Source organism: Homo sapiens, chromosome 4 (genome assembly GCF_000001405.40).
Source record: "Homo sapiens chromosome 4, GRCh38.p14 Primary Assembly".
Lineage (NCBI taxonomy): Eukaryota > Metazoa > Chordata > Mammalia > Primates > Hominidae > Homo > Homo sapiens.
In genome coordinates, this window is record NC_000004.12 from 112,508,404 (window position 1) to 112,535,312 (window position 26,909).

Sequence of the window (26,909 nt, forward strand, 5' to 3'; positions counted from 1 at the left end):
GGTTACTCTTTTGTCACACTGGCACTAGTTTGGCTTCTTTTGGCTATTCTTATGCCAAGGAGGCAATAAACCCCCTTGAGAGTCATAGAGCTGCCCGCGGAGCCCTGACCCTGCGGAGAAGCTTTTATGCCAACATACAATACACAAAGGGATCATAAACACGTTTGAAAACGAAGATGACCTCTTTGTCACTTGGCATTAGGCTTTATTGCAAGCTGCTGCCATGGAAACCAGCCCCCAGCTCTCTCCATATTTTAAGGCTTCCTGTTTCCATTTTACGTGGACTTCAGCACCTTTATTTAATCCTTTCTACATCAAATAAGATAGGTGAAAGGTTTTGGTTCTTTGCTCCATTGTTTAACGTCTCCACGTATGCCTTTAGTTATGGAGCAAAAAGGACTGTAAGTGGAATCGACGATTTGAGTGCAGATGGAAACAAAGAGAAGGTGATAATGGAATCAATAGAAAGAAATGGAGATAAACATTGGTGACACAACCTGCTGTACAATTCGACAAGATCTATCAGAGAAGATATACACTCCGTATTGAATATTTAAAAAGCCAGCTGCAGTCCAAACAGGCTACTCTAGGAGATGTGTCCTTTGGAAATAACTTTAACATGTTGCCTCTTGATTTCTTGCACGGCTGGACTTCCATGTGCAGTAAGTAGAGTCTGCCAGGTAACACGAATCTAAACAGCTGCCCCCAAAGTCGAGCCTTAAAAATATGTTTCCATTGGGAGGAACTGTGGATCCTGGGTTCTTTTATTTCCTAAGAAATATGTAACTTTTGTTTTGTAAGAAAGTGAATATGCAGAAAACCGAATGCTTATATAGTTACAGCCTTGAAAAGTAAAAGCAAAGATAACCAAGTAAAAAGAGAATTCACGATGAGCTAACTACCGCTGAAGCTCTGCGATCCAAAAGCTGCTGGGACATCTGAAGAATGGCCTGGGGTCAGTTCGGTGAGATGCGGGGCCGAGGAGGAGAAGGAGTGGGACCGTGGGCGTGCAGGTGTTTCAAGGATCCTCCTCCTTTCCCCCTTCCATCTCTGATTCCATCTCCAATTTGGATCCCGGGAGGCCGAGCATCTCTCACGCGGTTGACACCTCTCCAGGCTGGAGCGCGAAGCCGGCGCCTGCCCGGGTAATCAGGGAGGCCTGGCCTTTCACGCGGTGTTCTCAGTCAGTAATCCAAGTTGGCATTTCCCCCTTCGCGCTCTGAGCAGCTGGAGAAGCAGAGAATGCTAGCGAAAGCAGACAGAACCACCCCTGTCTCCCCTCCCCCGACCCTGGCACCGAGAGGGGGAAAAAAGTCGTTTGTTGTAACGCACACACCATCAGGATTCTTCCCCATTCCATCCTCCCGACTCACGCCACCTTGCAGGGAAATAATAGGTCCGGCCACACTGGCTTTCGCGTTCTGCTTTCCGGATGACTGAATTTCTTTGCTCGCCTCTCCTGTCGGGGACCATCTGAAACTGCCTCCAAGCTGCGTTCCCAGGGAACCCCCCAACCCCCACTCATTCCACTCGGGGACTAAAGAGCGACTCACTTCAACGTCCTCCATAAGATGAACCCCATCCCGGCTGGAAAAATCAAACTGGGGAAGGAAAAACGCGTTGGGGGCAAGGAGAACCGCTCCTGCAGACCTGGCCCCTCCTTGGCCCTAGGGGACCCCTGCCGATGCCCACTCGGTGCCACGTGGGGCGGCCCCAAGGGAGATGCACCATCCCCCAAACCAAGCGCTTTGGAAAAGAAACTGCAGAGAATAATAAGAAGCATGGGGGGGGGGGCGGGGGGCGGGGTGTGTCCGTGGAGTGATGAGAAAGCTGGTCTTTCATCCCTCCTTTTTTGGACATTCCTTAAGTTTAATCATTAAAGTGGTCCTTAAAAAAGAAGGCAGCAGCTTAACGCTGCTATTTCTGACAATCTGCCCCACACACTGTCAGCGAAGTGAAAGATCTGGATCTAGCTTTGTTGCTTCGCTACCAATAGCAGACTTGGGGAGACCAAACCTCCGATTTCTGGCCACATCAAAGCACTGATTATGCAAATACCCATTTTTTTTAAGAATAAAAGAAAATGGAGGGGGAATTATTTATCACACAATGAACCCCCTGCCAGGGCAGGAAACAATAGATCAGACCAGATAGCCCTTCTAGCCCCAGGCTGGGGGAGCGAGAAAGGGGGGTATTGGAGCCCTCACGTTTTATTGGTCTAACCTAATTTCACTAATTCTCTTTTCACACATTTCTTTTGCAGATTCGGAGGCCGGGACTTTCACGCTCCCGGGAGCGCACTGCATTGGCGCGATTCAAGAGCTGCCCGCTTTATTTAATTAATACATTCAAAGCTCGCTTGGGAGCCCGAGGGGGCTCGGGGAAGACCGAGGCTGGCGGTGAGGAGGAGGCGCTTTTAACCGGTTCCAGGTGTCGGTGCCCAGAAGTCACAACCAGCTCAAGGGTGTGCAATGCAGGGGGGTGTACCCAGCGGGTGGGGGCGCCGCAGCTCCCAGCCTCGCCCTCAAGCCCGGCCCTTTAGCAGCCTGTGACCCAGACTGGCGGGTGGGCAGCTGAAGCCGGCCTTGGGTCTAAACGCCCTTCCTGGGCCATCGGACTAGGCTTTGGGAAGTGCCGAATGGGTCCTTCCTCCCTCCTGGCCAAAGCCGCCCAGGGCCTTCGCCTCAGCTGGGACACCAGGAGCGCCCATCCGGCTCTGGTCCAGGTGCTGCGGGCCCGGGAAGCCTCAGCCCCTCCTCCTGCCTCCGGCTGAGCCTAGGTCCGGCTCCCGTGGCGGGCCCAGCGGTTGGCAGTCCGCCTCTCTACTTTTTTTTTCCTCCTTCTTGGCACTCAGATGGATGTATTTAAAATCTAGTGAAGGAAAAATGAGCCGTAACAAGGCCTGAGCACTTTAGAACAAATAAATACAGCCAGTCCCGGAACGCCGGCCGCGCTAAAGCGACGCTCCAATGAGAACAGGACCCACCTTCGCGCCTCTCCGCACTTAGGAAAACGCGCCGCAGCGCGCTAGCTGGCGTTGGAAAGATCTAGCAACACTGAGAGTCTGTGTCTGTCACCGGAAGAAAATCTCCACAGCGTTGTTTGAAGTGTCTCTCACCAGAGCCACCAGAAATAAAATGGCGTGGCTCCGAGGCCTGCAAACCTACTTGGTGCACACAGATGCAGCTCATCACAGCGCGGTCACAATGTCGGGAGGGAAATGAATAAAATGGAAATACTACCTTGTTGCCTACTGCAGAAGCAGCGGCTTTGACCCTCTAATTGTACTCATTCCTACTAGGAAGGGAAGAGAACGACTGGGCCTCAGGCCACCGGCTGTGAAGGTTGCAACGGATTAGGGGAGAGAATCTCGGCGCTGAGGCAGTCAGAACACCATTCTTACCCGCTTAAGATGATTAGATGCCATAAAAAATAATTGCGCCAATTTAGTGTAAAATAAGGTGTGTTCTAGATGGGGAAGGGAAAGCCTGAGTGTGAATTGCAAATGGCAGATGAAAGCCCGGGCACTTAGGATATATCTGCTTGTGTGTAATGGGGACCTGCAAGCTCCAGCTTTGAGAACTTGAACAAGACTCTGGACCTGGAAGAAGTGTGTAGAGTCCGCTAGGTCAAGAGTGAAGTCTGTATTAGCTGTATTAGTCTTGCTCAGAGCTAGGATTATTGAATCATCTATCCATCCCTGCCTCTCCACCTTAGCCATTAGGGTCATCTTTTTATGGGATGGCTTCACCAATTGAGAAGGTTTCCCATAGTTGGAGGAGTAGCTGCATCTGAGATTTTGTCATGAACTATTTCTTTGGCAAGTTTCCAAAAGAAGCACCATGTATCATCAAATGTATCACCAGAAGAAGCATTGTTCAGCACCAAAACTGATGTTTTCAAACTATCATATTACAATTCCTTTGCTTGCTGGCTTGGCTTTTTAAACATTAGAAACATAAATGTGAATATAAGAGAAATATCACTTTCTCCCCATGTCAGATAATCAAAGAGCAGCTAAGAGTAACACAATCTTTAAATTAAAAGGGATTTACCAAAAGGTATCTCATGCTTGGCTATAAAAAATGAAACAAAAACCCTGAGTTAGTTCTTCCTTTGATTAAAATGGAGTTATTAGAGAGGAGTGGTTTCAGATAGACACCTCAGGAGAAATTATTATTGCATTGTGCAGAAGAGTGGAGTATTTAGCCCAAACCAGATGCAGGTAAGACATTCGTGGGGAGGTGGGTGCTGTGAACGACCAAGTTTTAATGTGATATTTTTTAGCTTGTGTTGTCATAGACACTCTTCCCCAAGGGGATTAAGCATAGAATGTGGTCAACCTTCATTTGGTCATTTTTGACCCAAAGCCAATCAAAGGTCATTCATTTCTGCTTTGGAGATTGAGGTGCAAGTTAAACCATTTTTGCTTTCTCTTTGAAGAAGTTTTGACTATGTAATTGCTTTAACAAATATTGGGAAAGCGGAGCTATTTCTGTATATATTTTCAATTCCAGTTCACTCTAAATATCTGCTTTATTCTGGGAGTCTGCTTTTAAAAGCAACTAGCTTGTTAAAATGCCTAATAGGAAATCTGCTTCTAATAATGAATTTATACGTACTGTTACATCACAGATGTTAGAGCTGGAAAGGGAGCACCCTTGGAGGTCATGTCCAATCCCTTCAGTTTACAGATGAGAATTGAAGCCAAACGAGTTGCACAAAAAACAAATTTCTACACACTCCACCAAGAAATTTCAACTTCACTTTTTTTCAAATCAAGGTTTTCTGAACTTTGGAGCTTATCATGACTTAATTATCATTTAAATTCTTCTCCCCTTTTTTGCTTATCTTGTTTGCTCAGAAATTTATTTCTTAGAAATAAATTGTGTGTTTATCTTAAAAATAGAAAGTTACACTCTTATTTTCAATATTAGTGTCTCAAATATGATTCAGCTTTTTGTGATTTCTTAGTGATATTCTACACAAAGCATTGCCCAAAAATACAAGTACTATATTCAATTTGACATGGGAAGAATTTCAAAAAAACACAACTCATTTGGCATCTAAAAATCACATAAGCAAGAAAAAGGTAGAATACAACACACAAACTTATGAAAATTAGATAGTTTATTTATAGTTTAATCACAAGAACAACTTTCTTGTTCTTCAAGATGTAAATACATACTAGAATAAACTCTGTAGAATATACAAAAAATACATATTTTCCCATGAAAAATTTCTTTATAATAAATAGAAGGGAACACGTGTGTGGCTGATCCGGATAATGCTCCGTGTCTGCTTAGGTTTTCAGACTGTTGATTTATTTTTAATCTCTTGAAAGAATGGGGGAGTTCCTTCTCCCCTAAAAGGTCGAAATAAATAATACATGAGGCAATCCTCCCTCCTGATTTTTCCCTTTTCCTCCACATTTTTCCTTTTGATAGAGAGTTCAGCCTAAATTTCCACGCTTGCATTCAATCATTACAAAGCCTACAAATTATACAATGACTTCTAACCTGCCCCTCTAACAAAACAAGTTTTTTTCCCCTTATAAATCATAAGAGACAGATGGCAAAATGGGGAAGAAAAAGGAAAGAGAAGGACAGGACAATAGGCATTGTGACGAATCTGGGAAACAGAACAAAGTGCACATCAGAGAGGGAAGTTTGGTTTGACAGGTGAAATTCCCACAGCCTGCAGACAGCAATGGGAATAAAGCAGATGCCAGCCATTGCAAATCTGTGGATAATATTATTACCAGCAAAATCATTCAGATGCTAAGATACATTTCTTTCTACTCGACATTAACATCTCTATGTAGAAGCAAAGGTGAAGAGATCACAGGAACCAGTTGCATTCCCCCTGTGAGATTCACACGAACTGCACCAAGTCCTTCGGCGTTAAAGAGAAAGGGGAGGAGCGTCAGTCCGCTCTGCAAACTCTTTAGATATGCCACCATCATCTCTTCCCAGGGTCTTTTTCGTCTCAAGAAGCGCCCCCAAAACGCCACCCTTGGCTTTGACAATAAGCTCCATCACACCTTCAGTAAATCAGAGCCCGTCTGAATGAAGGATACCCAAAGCCAAGAAATGCAAGAAACAACCGAGGAATCAGAAAGGCTACACCTGCCCTGTGAAGTGAGATGGTTTCCAGGGCGTGGAAAGGAGGGGCAGGGGAAGGGAGGAGGGCTCGACTGGGGACAGGAAAGGGAACCCACTAAGGCCTGGCGTGGGTAGCAGAAATGGCAGCTCTAGATACAATCCCTGGCTATGGGGAGGTGAGGTGCATAGCGGTGCTTGTCGGGAGGTGGGGGCTGCCAATAGTCCATGTCTGACCCGGCCGGGCTGGCGGGCGATAAAGTGCAGCTGTAGGGGGAGGTGGAATTGGAGGACACGGAGGAGGACGGCGCGGGGCTGTTGGTGCAACTCCACGTGGAGGCGGGCGAGGGGCTGTCTCCGCTGCTGCTCAGGGCGGCGCTGGCTCCTCCCGGGCTCAGCAACACTGCCTCGGAGAAGAGCGCCCCCGGCAGGCCCCCGCCGCCGCCCCCGCAGTGATCCGCCAGGCGCAGGGTCTCGGTGAGTGCCCAGATGTAGTTGTGGGCGAAGCGCAGGGTCTCGATCTTGGTGAGCTTGGCGTCCTCGGGGAACGTGGGGAGCACCTCGCGCAGCGCGTCCAGTGCCGCGTTGAGGTTGTGCATGCGGTTTCGCTCGCGGTTGTTGGCCTTCAGTCTACGGGTCTTCTTGATGCGCTGCACCGTCTCGGCCGTCTTGGCGCCTCGGGAGACGGCCCGCGCCCGGGAAGGGCGCCGTTTGCAATCGTGTACCAGACCCAGCAGCCGTGCGGGCCGGCAGCCCTCCGCACCCGCAGCCACGCCGCCCCGCGCCCCCTGCCCGGCCTCAGCCCCGCGCTGCCGACGCGCCCCGCCTGACGCGCCCGGCTCCTCCTCCTCTTCTTCGTCGGCGCTGGATGACAGCGGGGTCAGGGCCGCCAAGGCGGGGGAGGCCGATCCGAGCAGCACTAACACGTCCTCTTCCTCCTTCAACTCCAAGGTCTCGGATTTGACGAACATCCTACCGAAGAGAGAAAGGGGAAAAAGGCAGTGAGGTGTAAGGAAAGAAACAGAGGCGCGATCTTCGTGTCACAGGGGCGTGCTCCGGCGCGCACCCGAGAAGACCAGCTCCGAATGGCGCGGAGCAGGAAGGCGAAGGAAGAAACCCAGGCAGTGCTAACCAAGGTCAGGAGCGCCGCTAGCGCTCGCTGTGACCCTGCTGCCAGTCAGCCGGGTCCTGCCCTCCGCGGGCGGTCCTGCGTTCCCTCCCCGAGAAGGGACTGCGGCCTCCGCGACAAAGATTCTGCGCGGAGCAGAGGGCGTGCGGGTGTGGTTGGACTGAGTGCGGGGAAACCACCTGCGTAGTTGGAAGCGGTGGCTCGAATACTTACTTAGTTGGCTCTAACTGTGCCTCAGCGTTGCTGTGACTTTGGCCTGTGCCGGGAATCTCCGCGCAGCTGCGAGCGCAGCGCCGGGTCCTTCGCCCGGCGTGAAAGCTGCAAGCCCGGCGCTACTGTGGCGCAGCTCCGCGGGGGACCTCTGCGACCGGCGAGTTTGCCAAGAGCCCCGGCGGCGGCGGCGGCGGCCCGCCCGGGTCTCGTGTGTTGTGGTGGTGGTGCGTGTCTGTCTGTCAGTCAGTCCCTGGCCGTGCGGCTCCTGGCACGCGACTCCCAGGCACTCCAGTTAACGCGAAGCTGCTTGTGGTTCAGTGGCTGCGTGTCTGGCACACGACTCTCCTTAAAACCCCTTATATACCACCAAGAAAACAATCAGATCTGCCCCGGGCCCCCTCCTCCCCCGCCACCGCCTCCTCCTCCTGTCAGTCCTGCCCCCCTTCTCCCCCGCTTTTCCCTCCTCTGGCTTATTCTTTTCATTGCATTATCATCATTCATTTCTTCCTCTTTCTTCACCGCCTTTCCCCCTCCCTTGGCCCTGCCATCCATCCTCCTCCTCCCACCACCCCCGCCTCTCTTTTCCCCCTTTATCTAATCAACATAAAATGGTTCTAAAGCTCCTGTTGGAGCTCCGGGCTGCGGCCGGAGCTGGCGAAGCCGCAGCGGCCGCAGAGGCTCAAGCTGCGGCTGTTGTCGCCGCCGCTGTCCATTGTGATTGGTGGCTCGCGCTCGGCTGGAGCGTGCCGCTAATTTATTAATGAATGGAGGTCGCGAGGCGCAGCTGGCCAATCAGGGCGCCCTGGACTCCGGGAGGCCTGCGAGCCACGCGCACCGGAGCCCGCTCCCTTTCAGCAGCTCATTAGGGGCCCGAGCGCTGGGGGCGGATGGGGGGACCCGTGCTACCGCCCCCGCCTTCGTCCTCGCTGCCGCCGAGGCTCCCCCCGCCCGGCGCGCGCGCAGGCACCGCACCCGGCGCTGCCGGCCCTCCTAACTCCCGGGTGATGGGAACTAGGAATTAGTTAATGGGGGTCAGAATCCCGGGGAAAGCAGTTAGCCCTGTGGTGCTGCCGGGCGTCTCTTGGCAAAGCCTCTTAGGGGTTGTATCAAATAGTAAACGATTTTAAAATGGATTCATTTGGTTAGGGGAGGAGAATGGCGTGGATGGAGAGATGTGGACACCTCGTGAACAAGTGTGTTTGGGGTCCGTCGAAACTGGCGTGGGAGAGTGAAGGGAGAGGACACTGGGGATTCAAACAGGCGTCTCTTGGGAGGGGAGGTCGGATAGGGGAGCAGTTGATGAGCTTTTAGAGGATGTGAGAATGAAATCACTCACATGTTAGAGCTGAAAGGATCCCCCTCATTTTACATACAGGAAACTGAGGCTCCGGGCACTGATGCAGGTTTTGCTGGGGTTAACCCAGTTTATAGCCTGGAGGGACAGCAAGGAGGCTTCCTGCGTGGGTGGCAGCGAACCGAGCGGGAGGAGCGGCAGAGCTGCTGCTCCTGCAAGCAAATGCGCTGCGCTGACATTTCTGTGACCTCTGCTCCGCGCTGGGGGGCGTTGTAGGGACAAGGGGCCCATCTTCCCAATTCTGCTTTTCAATGAGAAAAAAGAGCTGAAGGGCTACTGGACCTCGGGGGAAACTTGTTCTCAATTGCTCGTTAGCCCTCCCCACTTTCCCCACGTTCATGCCCACCCTCTTGTCGACATGGGGATGGATCCGGACTTCAGTAGACCGGAGTGGCGTCCCTTGAGATCCCCTTTGCAAATTAACTTTAGGCAAGGCACAGTTGGAGTGTTAGGAGTGGAAGAGTAGAAGGGAAAGAGAATGCTGTCTTCTGGTTTCTGTCTCCCTCAGTTTGTAGGACTTAGAAACAAGCTGTATTCCAAAGACGGGGTGGTTAAATTAGCTGTTAGTATTTTGGCATGGCTTTAATTTGTTTAATGTTTTCTTCAGGGAGGTAACAAGGAGGATTGGAAGGCACAAAGTAAAGAAAATGAAAATTAGAAACTTGTGAAAAGGAGCATTACCCATTGCAGTTCTTCAAACTTCAGACTTCCTTCTGTCTTGGAATTACTTGAAAACTATCATGATTTCCACTTTGCTCTTTGATGTTTGTGTTTTCATATTCTCCCTTTTTAAAGCAAATTCCCAAAATATAAAAGCATCATTTGCCAGTTTCCTCCTCGACTATTTTAGAACAGCTAAATTTCATGTGTTAGAAGTGCAGAAATGAAAATGAAAGAAGAAAAGAGAGACACTTTCAATGTTTCTAGCACACAACACCTGCCTCTCACATATCTTTGGGTTTCTGTCTATCATGAACCTGCAGAATCAGAACCTCATAAAAAGTCTGACCAAGCAAAAATTATGCTAGAAGTGCTTACCTTTGTTGCTGTACACATGAGCGTTAATTTATGGGCAATTATCACTGATACGAAACAAGAAAATACTCTTCTCATAGTCCCCCTAAAAGAAAACACTCTTCTCATAGTCCTCCTAAAAGAAAACCTGCCAAGGATGTGGATGTGTCCAGTCCAGTAGGGACTGAAGGAACATGTGGGAGCAGACACAGAATTTGTTTGTAAATTTGAATAAAATATAAGGACAAGAAAGCTAGGTTCTGAGGAAATGATCAAGACTTTTAAAAACAAATACCTGAATGATAGGAGGAACCTTGGTTTTTCAGTCTTTAGATATCTATATCGCTTCACAGGAGTTGCCTGCAAAGAAATACAAGCCAAAATAGATTAATGTAATGAAAACAAAGGAAAATTTATTTTAGTGTCAGTGGAGATACCTGTCTTTGGACACGTTGCTTTAAACTTTTGGTTTAGCTAGGAAGTGCTGGGTTGATTTAATGATAAAATATATTTGGGGGAAGAACAGAATTGGAATCCAGTTAAGTAGAAGTAGAGACTTAAAGGGAAACTTGGTGAGCCTCATATAACCCCAAATAACAATGAGATCAAGCTGGGTTTGATGCTTAGTGCCAGTGAAACACACAATGGATTTCTTTAGTTGATTGTTAACAGTATTTGGACATCTGACTCTCCAGTTTTTTTATTCTCCCAGGATTTTATGTTTTTATGACTCACTGAAAGGGCACATGTTTTCCTGTGACAAAATCCAAACCTTCTATACTGTCTGTGAGTGATAAGTTAATAATGCATATTTAAGTATATCCTACACAGATGCTTAGTAATGGTAAAATTGTATTAAGGTAAACTACACACTTCCTATTCTGGAAGTTTCCTGCAAAAGGAAAAACTATTCCAACAATGTCAAGAAACTTAGGATTATGTACATATTCAAACATTGCTATAAATCAATTTCTAATCACTAAACGTAAAGCCATCATCGGGTTTATAGAATTTTATTTTTTTTAATGAGGGCTTCTTTGGGCATATGCAGTGATGTATGTCCGATTACTATAAAAAGTACATCTGTAAATGAGAACACGTGGACACAGGGAGGGGAACATCACATACTGGGGCCTGCGGGGGTGGGGGGAAGAGGGCTGGGGGACAAGGGGAGGGAGAGCATTAGGACCAATACCTAATGCATGCAGGGACTTAAAATCTAGATTATGGGTTGATAGGTGCAGCAAACCGCCACAGCACATGTTGAAACAAACCTGCACATTCTGCACACGTATATCCCAGAACTTAAAATGTAAAAAAAAGTATAAAACAATTTTTAAAAGTACATCTGTTAAAAAAAAAAAAAGACGCTCTCTATATACCCTGGAACTCTTAAAAATTTTGGTTGTGTGTTTGTACTGTAGCCTTCAAGAGCTGACTTACACTTGATCACAGAGCATTTCTGAAAATATTTCTCACTGTGAAAAATATCATTTTTAAAAAGAAAAGAAACACCCAAGGACAACCTCATACAATCCAAAGACCAACTGTTCATACTCACAGTTGCCTAGATAACAGAATTGTATTTGTTCAGCATTTTGCTTAGTTTTGCAGGAAAAAGAAAGCAATTTCGATTTGTACTCAGCTTTGCGAAGGCATAACTAATGCCAAATATCCTTAGCTGTACTCTTCTAGCACTCTTTTAACTTAAATAAATTCAAGAGGCACTTGTGTGGTCTAAAAGATTGTCCAGATGAAACGAGGCTGAAATGTTCTGTGAAGGGGGAGGGGAGTGAGTGAATAGCATCAGCCAGGATGGTGACCGAGGGCCGCTCCTGTCCATTGCATGAACTGTCCTAAGGGGTCAAACTGTTCATCTTCAGCCCTTCTTTCAGTGCGGAATCCTACTTTAAGAGAACAAAAGCTCAAAGCAGACAGTTTTCAAGAAATGGGAGCACAATGATTTAAACTCATCCCCAAGCCTCAGAAAGAAAGGGAGCTGAGTGCGTGTAGTGAGAGACAAGTGGAGTAAGGGGAGGGGTGAGAGGGTGGGGATCTTTAGAAAGTCTTTGTTGCTTCTAAGAAGCTTGAACTTTGAGACGACCCAAAAGCCCTAAAGTTTAGGGTAGGTGTTGCTGTGGAGCCATAGGCTACATTCCCTCCACACTTCGACCTCACAAGTTGCGAAAGAGGACAAATGGTCGCCGCGCTAGTCCCTTGCTGTTGCAGGTGACTGTCGGGGGCGCGAAAGAGGGCGCCCTTCCCTGAGAGGACAAAAGCCAAGGTTTGGCTATCCAGCGAGCCTGTCCCCCAATTCACAGTAAACCACCGTCGGCCAAAGGAGATGGCGTGTCTACTCTCTGCTAAAATAACAAGATGAAGTACCTGACAAGGGGGCTTTGTAACCCAAATCCTAATCCTCCGAGTGAGTTCTCAGAAAGATGGAAAGATGGCGGGAAAAAGTTGGTAAATCCTAAACATCTTTTACATCAACGGTCTCTAGTTCTTCGCTGCAGGCTAGAAACGCAGCTTCCAGAGCAGGAGAGCCTGGTATGGAAACAATTAGCTTTCTCCGCAGAGCACCCCTTGCAACGCTAGGATTCGTTATTGATAGTGGTGAGCGCTGGGAATGAGTGTGAATTCGGAGTTTCTGACGGTCCCCTATCCGGGAGCCAAGGAAGCCAAGGAGAAAACAATGTAAATTCGCCCCGATCCCCAGTTACTGCATCCCACATGGTATTCTCGGTCTCCCCCACGTTTTCCCCTTGAATCCTGTCCGGGGAGGATTCGGCTTGAACCTAGCCCTGGAGAGGTCCCGGCCAGGTCACTGAACTGCGCTTCACTGCGCCAGCCCCTCCCCTTCAGTATTTTCATCGCGTCCGAGGAATCGGCATCCACCACAGCAGACAGAAGGCAGGGAAGATCATCCCCCAGGCCCCAAGCCCCACTCTAGAGACCCTGGCCCCAAGCCCGCACGACGTGCTCTGGTGCCTCCAAGCCAAACATTCCGGGATTCGGCTTGACACACAAGGTCAGTCAGCTTGCTAGCGCGGAATCGGCCCCGCAGGTGCTAGGAGGCTCACTTCCTTCTTCGCAGACGCTATACCCTATCCCCACCTGCTCTGGGGAAGGCAAAGCTCCGCAGACTTCTTATCCCTGAGGCAACCCGCTACCCAAATGTCCCTCTTCTTTCCCACGAAGGAAAGAAATTACCGTAGGAGATTTTGCCAATCCATGCCAGCTTTCTGATTGTTTTCTTCAGGTAAGGGGAAAAGAACAGCCAGCGCGTGAATGGAGAGCTGAGGGCCCACTAGGGAGAGAACCTCTTCCCCACCCTTCGGTGCCTGCAAAAAGGGACATTGGCTATCCAGGGGAAAGTGCAAGAAAGAGAGCACTAATCGCTGAACCAGGAGACAAACACGATTACCAGCTCCGAGCCTTGAGTCAGAAAGTCTCATAGACTTTAAGATGTTAATCCCCAGCATAATCCTTCCTTTGGCGTGTAGGAATAGTGCAGCCACAAGAGTTGTTTTGTTATTTATATTGGCGTTTAATAAAACTCAGCCAGTGGTGAATGGGCTGCCCACTCTCCAATGGTAATTAATTCCCTATTTCAGTGACCCAATTGTCCTGGGACAGAGCGGTGGGCCCGTCCCAGTGCCCCGATCCCCCTTTGTGCGGATACACTGCCCTCGTGCTTCAACAGCTATGGAAACTCATTCTTTTGATGTCATTCAAGGAGTTTTCCTTGGGCATCTTCTAAACTTCAAGGACCCTTTTCTTTCTGCGTTTCATGAAAAGCAGTGCGAGCTTGACCACCTCTGTAGAATTTAATGATTTGGTGAAAGGGCCCTTTGGGATTTGTGTAAGGAGTTAGACAGAGAGAAAGGAAATTTGGCAGCCTGCTCCCTCGCAGGGACCGTCCCTAACCTGGAAAACACAGAACTTTGAGAAATGGATAAAGATCTTGAAAGCTGATTTTCCCTCTCCTTTCCCCACTAAGGAAAAAAAAATACCCAAAACAAACAAAACAAAACTTAATTCTCTTCTGGAAATAAATGTATCGTTTATTGTTGCTGATACAAATTAAAAGGGTGATGTTGAGGTAAATAAGTTCGAATCTTTAGCAGAGACTCTTCCTTAATCTGTACCTTTTGGGAAAAGGATATCAGTTTATTACTTTAATTGATTCATTGAATCATTTCTCCTTCCTACATTCAAACTACACTTAATGAACACCCAGTGTATGTCAAACACTGTACTAGGCCCAGGAAACACCGACGCACAAGACGCACATTCCTACCCCCACAGAGCTTACATTCAAAAGGTATTAAAAATCGTTTTAGTGGTCGGGCACGCGGTGGCTCATGCCTGTAATCCCAGCGCGTTGGGAGGCCGAGATCGCTTGAGCTCAGGAGTTTGAGACCAGCCTAGGCAACAGGGCAAATCTGTGTCTCAAAAAAAAAAAAAAAAAAAAAAAATTAGCCAGGCTTGGTGGTACGTGCCTGTAATCCCAGCTACTCGGGAGGCTGAGGTGGGAGAATCACTTGAGCCCGGAAACGGGAGGTTGCAATGAGACGAGATCGCACCACTGCACTCCAGCCTGGGCAATAGAGTGAGACCGTGTCTACAGAAAAAAATTGTTTTATATATCAGAAAAGGATACGTGTATGTAACAATAAAACTGTGTAATGCAATAGTGTTGGGAGACGGGGGTATGGTTTATTTTCAGGGATCTAAAGATATACTTTAGAATCTAAAACATTGGGGGTTGACACTTATTGCTGATTTATCCATTCTTTCTTTCCCCCCGAAGTATTTCTCGAGCGCCTACCGAGTGCCAGGCGCCTAGCGAGGCGCAGCGTTAGCACCAGGCGCGAACCAGACAGCTGTGGCCTGCCTGGTAGAAACGACCCTGCGATAACGCAGTTGCTAGTACAGCTCTCGGCGGAGGAGCCAGGGCCGGGTCTCCAGGCCGGGAGGGGGCGGCCGCGGTGCGCCCGGGCAGCGCTCCCTGCGCAAGTAGTTCTTCTATGTCTTTACACGCACTTCCAAAAAAACTTCGCAAGTCACAGAAACAATTCAGAATTCAACTAAGAAAATACAGAGTGAACCATATGGCCTGGGTGGCTCGAGTCGGCTGCATTTTCCTCCAGACAAAGAAGGGATTGAGGGTTGAAGGAAAGGAGAAAAAAAACCAACTTTCCGGCTGATGAAGCTGTTGTCTGGAGGCAATGATCCCAAATCTGAAGGCTTTATTCCGGCTCCGACGGAGACGTGATATGTCATATGATTAGCATCTTTCATATTTACAAGAGTGGTATGGGCTGCCAATCTTGAGAGAAAGGCGAGAGAAAGAAGGGGGCATATGCTGAAATGGATTTAGCATTTGAAAGAGAGAAAGGAGATCGGATAAATACACTTAAACGAGGATTTAGTTTTACTCCTGTTGAGTTCTAATAGATTGTTGATTGAGATTTTAGGGGCCTGGAACCGAGGTGTCAGCAGTAATTTAAAGAAGGTATTCAGTCCGCCAGCGTCTCTTTTCTCCGTTTCCCCCTTCCACCCCTCCCACCCCTCCCTCATTTACGCCTTCAAGCAGTATGGGGGCGGAGAAGACTTTTAAAACAAAACACAAAACAAGATCTTTTGCGAGAGCGGTGTCCGAGGGAGCCGGAGCGCTGACAGGTGTGCAGGAGGCGCCCCCTACAGCCTGCTGCCCCTCTCGGGGTTACACTCCCTTCCTGCCGCACCTGAGCGTTTTCAGGACGCGCTCTGGTCCTGGAGGGCCGGGCCCGCCCGAGGGCAGCCGATTCACGGCGGGCGCGCTGCGAAGTCGGGGCGCCCCCTGGTGGGGCACGGAGGTCGAGGGGGTATCCTGAGAGCACCGCGGGGCTTCGGGGCCGCGGGGGAGCTCCCAAGACAGCCGGCCACCGGGGGACAGTGGATTTGGGGTCTCCTCGAGGTCGGTCCGGGGACGCCCTCTGGGAAGCTTCACCTGCGGCTCAGGTTACAAACGCACAGTGCCCAGCCACGTCCTCACCTGCAGTTTCAAAAGCCGAAAGAAACAAACACAAAACACCTCCCCTAGGGTTCTGATAGTTGCCAAGTTTAAGAACAACCGGATTTAAGCCCCACGGGTTTCGTTTTCTTTTGTTTTGAGGATTTAGCAAATCAGCTAGAAGTGACGCCAAGACCCAATAGGCTGGGGAAAAGGACTTGGTCTCCAGGCTCAAAAGGACTCAGATGCACTGAGTGGGTACAGACTTTGTGTATTATATCATGTCTGTACAGATGTTTTCTTTACGCACCCAGAGCCACGTTCAGATTCATTCTCCAGACTGCTTGTCGTTCCCCCAGTACATTTTAATTATCATCCGAATTGGTATTTGATGTTCATTTTTAGCTAGATGTCCCGAGTGTAAAACGTTGGGCGGGGACAGAGAGGCGTTCAGCATCATTTGCCTTAGGCCTTAGTTCATGGGTCCAGACACCCAAACTTCTATTTCCGCTCGCCATTTTCATCTGTTTCCCACTTGACTTTACTTGTCCTTAACTTCGTCAACAAATTACTGTGCTTTCCCAAGGATCTAAGGTAACTTAAGGACTTACCATTTTACCACTTTACCTGTTAATTGGAACGAATTTAAGTTGCCCACATTTATCAACAGTAGAGACTAATAATACATTATACAATAGTTTACTACAAAATTTTGGTAGTAAATGTATTTACATATAATTGCTACAATAACAAAATGTCATGCAGACATTAAAATTATATTTCTGATGGATATTTAATTTTTTAATCTCATAATGTTTAGTATGACCCCAGTTTATAGATATTTGTATCTAAATGATTGGACAGACATATAAGCTCATACATCCTAGAGTGAAAAATATATTCATAGTGGTTTTTTTTCCATTGAGTAGTGGTAAGTTAAGTTTTTATCTCTGTGTTTTCTAGGTAAATACTGGAACATTCATAATCAGAAGTTGTTATTTTTTAAAATGCCAGCCTTCTGGAGAATGCCTTTTCTTTTGTAGTCTCTGTCAAACATTGGAAGGAAATTTCAGTTCAGAGATGTCTGAAGTGGGGTAAGTTATATCGTAGAACTCATCCACAGTTAAAATTAAGGCCCCAGGAGTTGAGCCATTTGCACTGACATGGGATACTGTAATTTTAAGACAAACGTTTAAAACTCATTCTTGAACTATCAATGGAAACACTGTTGTAGAGAAGAGGAACATACATTGCAATTTCAGTATTCTTGTTAAATCAAAATTCCTGGGGCTGGACAGAGAAAGGAAAGCTCCTCAATGCTGGATCACATAACTTTTCAGAGAGATGAGACCTCATCATAGGGTTCTGGTGGATTTCTAAAGAAATACTTGATTTTTTTTGTTTGTTTGTTTTTGTTTTTTGAGACAGGGTCTTGCTCTGTCACCCAGGCTGGAGTGCAGTGGCATCATCCCACTCAATGCAACTTCCTCCTTCCAGGTTCAAGCGATTCTCCCACCTCAGCCTCCAGAGTAGCTGTAACTACAGACAGCACCACCACACCCTGCTAATTTTTGTATTTTTAGTAGAGACGGGGTTTCACCATGTTGTCCAGGCTGGACTCGAACTCTTGGGCTCAAGTGATCTGTCTGCTTCAGCTTCCCAAAGTGCTGGGATTACAGGCATGATCCTCTGTGCCCAGCCAGATTAAAAAAAAAAAAAAAAAGTCTCAAAGTAATACATTCCTTTATTTAATAACACTTGCCAGCGGGAAATTCTTTGTGTCTAATCTTTCTTAAATGTGTTTCTTCTTGACCTGCCCTCAGCCATAATTAAAAACTTTCCTTTTTCATTTTGTGCTTGGAAATATAGCATCTATGGCTACTGTTTTAAAAATAATCAGGATTCAGAAAATACTTGATTCTGAGTTTTGCTTTCCTATGTTGTTAGGCTTTTGGCTTTCTCTGTGACAGAAGCCATCTTTATCCTGAAGGACACAACTGTGGGTTTCTATTTAACTGCATTTTTATAGCACCAGTCACCACGCTGAAACTATGTTGTATTATTGTTGGGTGCATGAGACAGCAGGACTGAGAATAAGAGAAAGGAAAGGATTTGCAAGAGGATAATGGCATTCTTCTCAGCAAATTCTCTTTTTCTCCAGGGTTTTTATTTTTGAGGATTTGAGGCTTCATTTTCTCTTGAAGGAAGAAAAAGATTAATCTCACAATACAATAATGTACAGAAAAATCAAGATACCTTTCTAAGGCTATATGGTAAAAGTCTACTAAGAAATTTTGTAAAAACAAAATAGACTAGAAATAAAAAATAAAACTCTATGTCAATATTAACCGAAACCCAAACCCTATTAATATCCTAAGTAGAAGACAGCTTTCACCTTGTTTTGTTTCTTTTTCAAATTTCCCAGCTGGGGAGATTCTAATATGCCACTAAAAGGTGGAGAAAATTATAATTTTATTATCTGCATGAATTTGGTGAGTTCTTTCTTTCTTTATTTGAGACAGGGTCTCGCTTCTGTCATACAGGCTGGAGTGCAATGGCATGATCACGGCTCACTCACTGCAGCCTCGACTTCCCTGGCTCAGGTGATCCTCTCACCTTAGCCTCTTGAGTAGCTGGGACTACAGGAGTGTGCCACCATGCCCAGCTAATTTTTGTATTTTTTGCAGAGACGGGGTCTTGCCATGCTGTCCAAGCTGGTCTCAAACTCGTGAGCTCAAGAGATCTGTCCACCTCAGCCTCCCAAAGTGTTGGGATTACAGGCATGAGCCATCACACCCGGCCTAGTCTTATTCTTATACTTCAAATAATTTGAGTTACATTGGATTTGAGACCAACAATATTCTCAGAAAACAAATGATCAGAGGTTTAAGGAAATTGTATTAGGTTTCAGCGTGTTGTTTCTTAAGATAAATTTCTGGCCACCCAAAAAGTCACATGGTATTTTGATTTCTTCTCTGAGTCTTCCTTTGGCTCTCAGTGTCTTATAAAATTGGCATCAAGAATGTTGTGTTTCCAGCTGGGCATAGTGGCTCATGCCTACAATCTTAGCACTTTGGGAGGCAGAAGCAGGAAGATTAATTGAATCCAAGAGTTCCTGGATGCACTGAACCAGATGGTGCAACTGCACTATGGCCTGAGCAACACAGAGGGACTGTTTCTGAAAAAGGAGTAGTGCCTCATTGAAATAAAAGCCTTTTCCGGCCGGGTGCAGTGGCTCACACCTGTAATCCCAGCACTTTGGGAGGCTGAGGCAGGTGGATCACTTGAGGTCAGGAGTTTGAGACCTGCCTGGCCAACATGGTGAAACCCCATCTCTACTGAAAATACAAAAATTAGCTGGACGTAGTGGCTCTTGCCTGTAATCCCAGCTACTCGGGGGGCTGAGGCAGGAGGATCTCTTGAACCTGGAAGGTGGCCAGGTTGCAGTGAGCCAAGATCATGCCACTGCACTCCAGCTGGGTGGCAGAGTGAGACTCCATCTCAAAAATAAATTAAAAGCCTTTTCCTTCCCTCTCATCCCAAAAATTCAAAGTGCTTTTTTCTCCCTAATAAAATAGAGGTGAAATAAACCACATAGAATTTTTAAAGTAATAATAAGAAACATATGGATACAGCCTCCTAAGAATTCAGTAGTAATCTCTTGGTTCCAAGTATTTGGCCAAGAAAGAATATCTAGATAGTTATTTCAGTCACAACTTGCTGGCATTGGAATTTCTCTTTAATTTGATATTTAAGAAGATACGTATCTGCAGAACACAAAGTGATTTTTCTTTACTCGCCCAGGTAATTTAATCAGTGTGGAGAACCAAGTTAAAAGTTAGGTCAAGATAGCATTCATAGAGATGAAGACCATCACTTTTTCCTCCTCCTCCTTATTGGACAGTGTATAGTCTATGGCTATGGCAAGGCTGTGTCAGTGCTCTTGACAAGAGTGTTCTTGACAAAGTTATCCTCTAAAGGAATGATTTCTTTTGCAGTTTTTTCTCTACTTAGTCTTTCTCCATATTTTTAGGTTGCATTGGGTGACCAAAGGATTCAGTGTTTTTCTGGAGCACTTTTTTAGATGTTTATTTGCAGCTTATACCTTTTGAAAATTTGGAGGATATAGGGACTGCTTCTTGAAGAGGGGAAGCAAACCTACAATGAGCCAGCCACTGTACCACCTGCCAACCTTGAATATATTATTTAATTTTGTTTTCACACAAATCCCAATGAGGACATTATTGTCATTACCATTTTCACAAATGAGGAAACTTGTCTAAGATCACCCAGATCACAACTGCAGTCTAGGCCTGTCACACTGTATACCCAGACTTGACAATTTCAGGCTTGTGCCCTTTCCTTGAGGAATGTGTTGACCCTTCTGAAAGGGAAAAGATTCCCTGTGGCCTCATCAGTGCAGACAGTGCTATTGTTATTATAAGGTTATCTAAAGATGGACAAATATAAATCTTACTATAAACTCCTTGTTTTTATCTCTTATATAACCATGACAACCACAAAATTTATAAATATAAGTACAACTATAAAGCCAATTCTATCCAAATTAACATCAACTTGACAGGATAGATGTCATATATATATATATATATATATATATATATTTTTTTTTTTTTTTTTTTTTTTTTTTTTTTTTTTGAGACGGAGTCTCGCTCTGTCGCCCAGGCTGGACTGCGGACTGCAGTGGCGCAATCTCGGCTCACTGCAAGCTCCGCTTCCCGATGTCATATATTTTTTTAAATCACCTGAAGACACAACACAAATTTCATATAACCTGCCACTGTGAAGTTTCAAGTTTGGATGCCTTTAGTATGGCACCAGGTATATTGTGTGATATGCCTACCACTCCCCATCCACCTTTTTTGATACACCAAGAAATCTTTGTACAGTGTTATTTGGCTATCATTAAGTGTTGACTAATAATGTACATTGTAAGTTGCCATTTTTTTCTTATTGGCTGTTAAAGCACTCCGCGGAGCCAACATGATCAGAAACATAAATGTAAACAGGGCACTAAAATCTCACATTATTAGTGAGCACAGAGAATCTCTATGTCCCCATAGATGCCTGTTCTTAGATTCATAAACTCCACAGCAGAGTTGGGACCTACCCCATGAACTGACGATGGGAACACCACCTCCTGAGATCTTCAAGACATGCAATGAGGTAGATATATCCCAACAAGATTGAATGGGAATGTCTTTAATGTGACACTGCTACAGAAAAGACAGCCAGTGGTGTTCAACTAGCCATTTTCTCCTTTTTTTATGGTAGTTAGATCCCCATTTTTAGCTGGGCATGTGGCTGCCTAAGATAAAGACTACATTTCTCACTTTCCTTGCAGCTAGGAGAGGTCAGTGCAACCAATTTTAGCCAATGAGATGCAAACAGAAGTGGCACATGCAATTTCATGTCCTTAAGGGTAGGGGCATGCCCTCCTCCCTTGCTTTTCCTTTACCCTGCTGCTGAGAATATGGATATGATATATGGGTCTCCATCTTGGGTCGTGAGAAGAGGGGGACAGCCTGGAGACGGTGCAGCAGCGACACCATATCAGTTCTACATTGTTTACTTCCCAACTTATTTGCATGGGAGAAATAAACTTCTACTTGTTGAGGCCATTGTTATTTTGAGTTTTCTATCATTCACAACTCAATCTAACAAGCTCCAAACTCCCAAACGAATGAAAAATAACAGAGAGGGCCGGCCGCGGGGCTCACGCCTGTAATCCCAGCGCTTTGGAAGGCCGAAGGTCTTCCTGATCACGAGGTCAGGAGATCGAGACCATCCTGGCTAACACAGTGGAACCCCTTCTCTACTAAAAAAAAATACAAAAAATTAGCCAGGCGTGCTGGCGGGCGCCTGTAGTCCCAGCTAATCGGGAGGCTGAGGCAGGAGAATGGAGTGAACCTGGGAGGTGGAGCTTGCAGTGAGCCGAGATCGTGCCACTGCACTCCAGCCTGGGCGACAGAGCAAGACTCCGTCTCAAAAGAAAAAAAAAAAAAAAGAAAGAAAAATAACAGAGAGAAGGAACTCCTTTTGGTCTCTCTCTTAACATTACCTTGATTCCTAGATAGTCACAGGTGGCAATCTTGGTAATAGAAGAAAGTAAACTAGTGAACATCTTATGTGGTCTTCATGGCAGACTCAGTGGTCAGCAGAAACCTGATGACAGCAGAGTGGTCCAGCTTGTTTCTCCTGGGGGCGTTCTTCCGAGGATATTTGGGCTGCCTCCAGAATCGCAGTGTCTTGGGCCGCCGCAAGGTGGGTGACGTACGGATCTTCTGTTTTTTGTTTTTTGTGTGTGTTTTTTTTGTGGCCGTGGACACCCTTCAGCCCTGTCTTTTGGCCTTCAAAGACTTCGCCAAAAGGAGGGGCGGGAGCTTCCTTCGGCTTTAGGTGGGGCAGGAGCTTCCTTCTTCGCATTCGGTACCATCTTGTGAAAAACGTATACGAAGTTTTAACACAGGTAAAAGTAGTCTCTGGAGAGAGTGGATTAATGGTTACCTTGGGGAGGAGAGACTGAGTCACCCCAAAGGGGCCCAAGGGAACTTTGCGGGTAATGGAAATGTTCTCGATTGTGATGGTGGTTACAAAGGTGTACATACATTTGTCAAAATTCATCAAGATGTACACTTAAATTACGCATATTTTATGTACTTCAATACAAGTAGTTTTTAAAAAACAAAAACATATTTCTTAGGATAAATGGCCTTGAAGTCAGTGGTTCTGACACAGGTAGACCAATGATCACATATTGAGAAACAATATTAGAGGTGATGAGCTGCAATAAAAAAATTCTAATGTGATCATATTTGCAATGTTAGAAAAATCATTCTGGTGGGAAGAGTGACTGAAGACAATGAGTTGAAGAGCTTAGGGACATATAACTTCTGGGCATATGGGACATGTGAGATCAGTTATCATAAATGTGTTGTGGCACCCATCTGCACATTAGAATAATTTCCTCTAGAACACCCAGAAACCCAGGTGTAAGAAAATGGAAAAGGATGTTTGAATAAATCCAGAGTTTTATTAGCTGGAAAAAAAACTGCAGCAAGCCACTAATTTGCCAAGGCAGTTGAGAGTGCTTAAGCAGGATGATGTCTGGACAGAAAGGAAAAGATAAGGGAACTGATAGAATGTCAGAATAGCAATGAGTCAGGAAATGAGAGCTCATGAAGCCAGAAAGTGTGTGTAGAAGTGAGGGAGAGGTCGTGGTCAGCAGCATGTTGGAGTAATTTAGGGTGATGATAAATCTCAGATGACTTTTTTTTTTAAGTATAGACAACATGGAATGAGCTCTAAGATAGATATTGTTCAGTGAAAAAAGCAAGGTATACAACACTTTTTATATAGTAGTCTACCATGTAAAAGGGGGAGACCAGGCTGGGTACAGTGGCTCATGCCTGTAATCCCAGCACTTTGGGACACCAAGGCAGGAGGCTTGCTTAAGGCCACAAGTTCAGGCCTAGCCTGGGCAACATAGTGAGGTCTCTTCTCTACAAAAAGCCTACAGTGAGCTATGTTTGTGCCACTGCACTGCATCCTGGATGACAAAATGAAGCCCCATCTTTAAAAAAAAAAGTGAGACCTAGCATACTCACACCTATAATCCCAGCATTTATGATGCTGAGGCAAGAGAATCTCTTGAGCCCCAGCAAGGGCAACACAGTGATACCCCGTCTTAACAAAAAAATACAAAAAAAAAAAAAAAAAACACACAAAATTAGCCTGGCATGCACTTGTCATCCTAGCTACTGGGAAGGCTAAGTTGGGAGGATCACTTGAGGCTAGGAGGTTGAGGCTGTAGTGAGCTAAGATCATGCCACTGCACTCCAGCCTGAGGGACAGAGCAAGACCCTGTATCTAAAAAATAAAAAACAAAATAAATTAAAAAAATAAAAGCTGGTGGCTGGGGAGATATTTATATGCATTTACCTATATGATAGTAAGATATTTCTGCAAGGAAATACAGGGATCTTATAACATTGGTTGCTTCTGAGGAGGAAACCTGGGAGGCTGGAGGACACAGAGCAGGGGAGACTTTTTGCTGTATTCCCTTTTGTTCCTCTTGAATATCAAACCATGGGAATGTTATCATCTATTCAAAAGTATATAAGTAGAATTAAACAAAAATAAGGGGAAAGAGAATAGATGTGCCATAATGAATAAAAACGGAAAACAGAATGAGGTATTCATGCTTCAAGCATATAAATTAGGCACTGACCAGGCATGGTGACTCACGCCTTAATCCCAGCACTTTGGGAGGCCAACGTGGGCAGATCACTTGAGCCCAGGAGTTTGATTGCACCACTGCACTCCAACCAGGGTGACAGAGACACTGTCTCAAAGAAAAAATAAGGCATACATGTGAGCACATACTAGAAGGTAAGAAATAAACCCAGTTTGATTTGTTTTAAAATATTTAAAAGTATGCAAAACACAAAAGAAAACAGATCATCTGGACACAATAGGTTTTTTTTGTTTTTTTGTTTTTTTTAAACAGAGTCTCACTCTGGCTGGTGCCCAGGCTGGAGTGCAGTGGCGCAATCTCAGCTCCCAAAAGCCTCCACTTCCTGAGCTCAAGTGATCCTCCCACCTCAGCCTCCTGAATAGCTGGGACTACAGGTGCACGCCACCACGCCTGGCTAATTTTTTTTTTTTTTTTTTTTTTTAAGATGGAGTCTCACTCTGTCCACCTAGGCTGGAGTGCAGTGGTGCAGTCTTGGCTCACTGCAACCTTCACCTCCTGAGTTCAAGTGATTCTCCTGCCTCAGCCTCCTGAGTAGCTAGAACTACAAGCACACACCACCACAGCCAGCTAATTTTTGTATTTTTAGTAGAGACAGGGTTTCACCATGTTGGCCAGGCTGGTCTTGAACTCCTGAGCTCAAGTGATCTGCCCACCTTGGCCTCCCAAAGTGCTGGGATTACACACATGAGCCACCATGCCCTGCCCATTCTAGATTTTTATAACATTCAATAGTTAAGCACTTACTGAGCACCTACTGTACTGGTGCTGATCCCAAATTATAAATGCAAAACATGATTCTGAAGAGCCATTGTCGCTAAAGTTATGTATGTGGTTCCTTTACCAATATGTTGACTATTTTGTCCTTGGTCCCTTATATTCAGTCAGCTTGCCTAGGCAACATACATAGTGCATACGTCTGGTCTCATACAACAATGTCTAGACTCATCAAATTACACTGGACTGCTTGCTGTTCATTACACTTTACCTTATGCTCTAATTTTGTTCTTATGTGATGTTACCATGTTGCTCAGGAAGGTCATCATCATCCATTCACAACACTGGATAGGGCTCATAATACCTAAAAGGAGTCACAAACCTGTGGGAGATGTCAGCTGGTTACACATACATCCACAGCTGTGCTGAAAGACGTGGGATCTTTTTACACCTCAGAATTTGTTAACCATATTGTCTTCCCCACCAGTTACTCCCTTCCATTCACAACTATCCTTCTACCTCTCTGACCTACCTAGTCTTCAAAGGTCTAGCTTCTACTTCATACCCCATAGCCTGACACTGACTCTAGATATAAGGAACCTAAGGACATAGGAGACAAAGTATCGAGCTCCTGATGGCATCATGGTCATGTTAGCTCTTATTTAGAAATATATATTCCAAAAGAATGGGCAAAGGAGGCTGATTTTCTTGCTTCGAGTATGCCCCTAAGTTTTTCCATCAGGGAGAGCTCTACTTTGCCCCATGTCGGGGTGGAGTGGTACATAACTAGCTCTGCACTCCATGCCTGGCCTAACACATAAAACAAGCTGCATATGCCTGTTGTGCACAAAGGGCCAGCCACAGAGCAGATGCTCAATGGATGCACTGACTTTAATGGCACCACAGAAATAATTAGTTCTATTTCAAGAAGCCACAAATCCATCATAATTTGTCCAATGAAATGAACTATATCTGTCTTTAAAGAGGCTGGCTACCATAGGTACCCTAAAACTTTCACTTAGGAAATTTTCTCTACCAGTTCTTTAGCCTGCAAGGTGACTGCTTCCTGATTTTTCACACGTGCAAGCATGCACACATACATCTCCATTTATTATCAGGACCAGATTTGCAATAATTCAGACACTCACAGAGAATTTTTTAAAAATCAACCTAACTAGTGTTTCAGAATGAGAGAAACTTAGAGGACTGCAGAGATATTTGGATAGTATTTTTCCTTTATTTTATAATCAAGTCATGCTAATGTAAACCAAACACACAACTTGAACTAAACACACATTTCACTCATGGCTAATTACAAACCAGGGATTTCAAATCAGTGTTGATCTAATGTTTTTAGAACAATTATTTAATTTTCAAGGTCCAATATCTGTCGAGTAAATCACCAATTTCCAGTTCATTCTTATTTAATATAAACAAATCTAATTAGTATAAAGATATTTCACAGCTGTCTTTAAATTAAACCATAGTCAAGAACAAGCAGCATTTTGGGTTTGCTTTGGCATCCCAAATCAAATGTTTTTTGTTCAAATATGAAAGAGCAATACCAAAAGTTATGTTTTATTTTGAAGTTTTAAGCTAAGCTTCATAAATTCAAGTAACCTATAATTTTTCACAATTCAAATTTTGAATAAGGACAGGAGCTGGCTACAGAGGAAAGCAAAGTATATTATTTTTTCACCTACTTTTGAGAATTTTAAGAATCACCAGTTCAGCTATACATTTTTGTTAATAATATTTCTCTTGCATTAAGTAGCAAACTACATCTTATAGTAGCAAATGTAGACATTCAAGGAGAAATCAACAAACCCATTTCTCTAGTAAAAATTATATTTACCAGGAAGGTATAGACTGTTCAACAAATAGGCCAGGCACAGTGGCTCATGCCTGTAATCCCAGCACTTTGAGAGGCCAAGGCGGGCGGATCACCTGAGGTCAGGAGTTCGAGACTAGCCTGGCCAACATGGTGAAACCCCGTCTGTCTCAAAAAAAAAAAAAAAAAAAAAAAAAAATTGTTAATAAATGGTTGCATACTAAATTAACTAAGGTAAATGATCAGGACATTAGTCTAGTTGGGTCAAAGAGGA

The 26,909-nt window shown here is 45.4% G+C and overlaps 1 protein-coding gene, 2 long non-coding RNA genes and 1 pseudogene across 3 annotated transcripts in view, besides 12 other annotated features; 2 read left to right on the forward strand and 2 right to left on the reverse strand.

Moving 5' to 3' along the window:
- Positions 595-1,259: an enhancer, noted in NCBI's record as "H3K4me1 hESC enhancer chr4:113430154-113430818 (GRCh37/hg19 assembly coordinates)". NCBI's record gives its function as "activates a minimal SCP1, AML or CMV promoter by ChIP-STARR-seq in primed H9 embryonic stem cells {active_cell/tissue: H9 hESC(primed)}" and the evidence as "EXISTENCE:reporter gene assay evidence [ECO:0000049][PMID:30033119]".
- Positions 5,113-7,777, reverse strand: NEUROG2 (neurogenin 2). Its single transcript, NM_024019.4, has 2 exons — positions 7,444-7,777; positions 5,113-7,073 (listed from the first exon to the last, which is right to left on the reverse strand). The coding sequence occupies exon 2, from the start codon at positions 7,070-7,072 to the stop codon at positions 6,254-6,256; it is 819 nt and encodes a 272-aa protein (NP_076924.1). The 5' UTR covers position 7,073; positions 7,444-7,777; the 3' UTR covers positions 5,113-6,253.
- Positions 5,709-5,848: an enhancer, noted in NCBI's record as "active region_21828". NCBI's record gives its function as "activates an Ori minimal core promoter by ATAC-STARR-seq in GM12878 lymphoblastoid cells {active_cell/tissue: GM12878}" and the evidence as "EXISTENCE:reporter gene assay evidence [ECO:0000049][PMID:35858748]".
- Positions 6,409-6,608: a silencer, noted in NCBI's record as "silent region_15638". NCBI's record gives its function as "represses an Ori minimal core promoter by ATAC-STARR-seq in GM12878 lymphoblastoid cells {active_cell/tissue: GM12878}" and the evidence as "EXISTENCE:reporter gene assay evidence [ECO:0000049][PMID:35858748]".
- Positions 6,869-6,938: a silencer, noted in NCBI's record as "silent region_15639". NCBI's record gives its function as "represses an Ori minimal core promoter by ATAC-STARR-seq in GM12878 lymphoblastoid cells {active_cell/tissue: GM12878}" and the evidence as "EXISTENCE:reporter gene assay evidence [ECO:0000049][PMID:35858748]".
- Positions 6,976-26,909, forward strand: part of NEUROG2-AS1 (NEUROG2 and ZGRF1 antisense RNA 1) — a 31,507-nt gene continuing 11,573 nt past the window's right edge. Inside the window, exons 1-3 of the long non-coding RNA NR_161159.1 lie at positions 6,976-7,237; positions 16,776-16,906; positions 21,979-22,097. This is a non-coding gene — a long non-coding RNA (NEUROG2 and ZGRF1 antisense RNA 1). The remainder of the gene's footprint in view (positions 7,238-16,775; positions 16,907-21,978; positions 22,098-26,909) is intronic.
- Positions 8,259-8,538: a silencer, noted in NCBI's record as "silent region_15640". NCBI's record gives its function as "represses an Ori minimal core promoter by ATAC-STARR-seq in GM12878 lymphoblastoid cells {active_cell/tissue: GM12878}" and the evidence as "EXISTENCE:reporter gene assay evidence [ECO:0000049][PMID:35858748]".
- Positions 8,402-11,554, forward strand: LOC124900760 (uncharacterized). The gene is made up of 2 exons (XR_007058231.1): positions 8,402-8,636; positions 9,405-11,554. It is a non-coding gene; the product is annotated as an uncharacterized LOC124900760 (long non-coding RNA).
- Positions 8,548-9,428: an enhancer, noted in NCBI's record as "H3K27ac-H3K4me1 hESC enhancer chr4:113438107-113438987 (GRCh37/hg19 assembly coordinates)". NCBI's record gives its function as "activates a minimal SCP1, AML or CMV promoter by ChIP-STARR-seq in naive and primed H9 embryonic stem cells {active_cell/tissue: H9 hESC(naive and primed)}" and the evidence as "EXISTENCE:reporter gene assay evidence [ECO:0000049][PMID:30033119]".
- Positions 8,679-8,778: an enhancer, noted in NCBI's record as "active region_21829". NCBI's record gives its function as "activates an Ori minimal core promoter by ATAC-STARR-seq in GM12878 lymphoblastoid cells {active_cell/tissue: GM12878}" and the evidence as "EXISTENCE:reporter gene assay evidence [ECO:0000049][PMID:35858748]".
- Positions 8,879-8,998: an enhancer, noted in NCBI's record as "active region_21830". NCBI's record gives its function as "activates an Ori minimal core promoter by ATAC-STARR-seq in GM12878 lymphoblastoid cells {active_cell/tissue: GM12878}" and the evidence as "EXISTENCE:reporter gene assay evidence [ECO:0000049][PMID:35858748]".
- Positions 12,831-13,971: an enhancer, noted in NCBI's record as "VISTA enhancer hs981". NCBI's record gives its function as "enhancer in: hindbrain (rhombencephalon)[5/6] | midbrain (mesencephalon)[5/6] | forebrain[5/6]" and the evidence as "EXISTENCE:transgenic organism evidence [ECO:0001131][PMID:17130149]".
- Positions 12,920-13,619: an enhancer, noted in NCBI's record as "NANOG-H3K4me1 hESC enhancer chr4:113442479-113443178 (GRCh37/hg19 assembly coordinates)". NCBI's record gives its function as "activates a minimal SCP1, AML or CMV promoter by ChIP-STARR-seq in primed H9 embryonic stem cells {active_cell/tissue: H9 hESC(primed)}" and the evidence as "EXISTENCE:reporter gene assay evidence [ECO:0000049][PMID:30033119]".
- Positions 14,771-14,890: a silencer, noted in NCBI's record as "silent region_15641". NCBI's record gives its function as "represses an Ori minimal core promoter by ATAC-STARR-seq in GM12878 lymphoblastoid cells {active_cell/tissue: GM12878}" and the evidence as "EXISTENCE:reporter gene assay evidence [ECO:0000049][PMID:35858748]".
- Positions 15,541-15,760: a silencer, noted in NCBI's record as "silent region_15642". NCBI's record gives its function as "represses an Ori minimal core promoter by ATAC-STARR-seq in GM12878 lymphoblastoid cells {active_cell/tissue: GM12878}" and the evidence as "EXISTENCE:reporter gene assay evidence [ECO:0000049][PMID:35858748]".
- On the reverse strand, positions 21,968-22,269 carry RPL23AP94 (ribosomal protein L23a pseudogene 94; annotated as a pseudogene).

Coding starts and splice junctions, on each gene's coding strand:
- NEUROG2 (NM_024019.4), bottom strand. CDS start 7,072: ATGTTCGTCAAATCCGAGACCTTGGAGTTGAAGGAGGAAGAGGACGTG.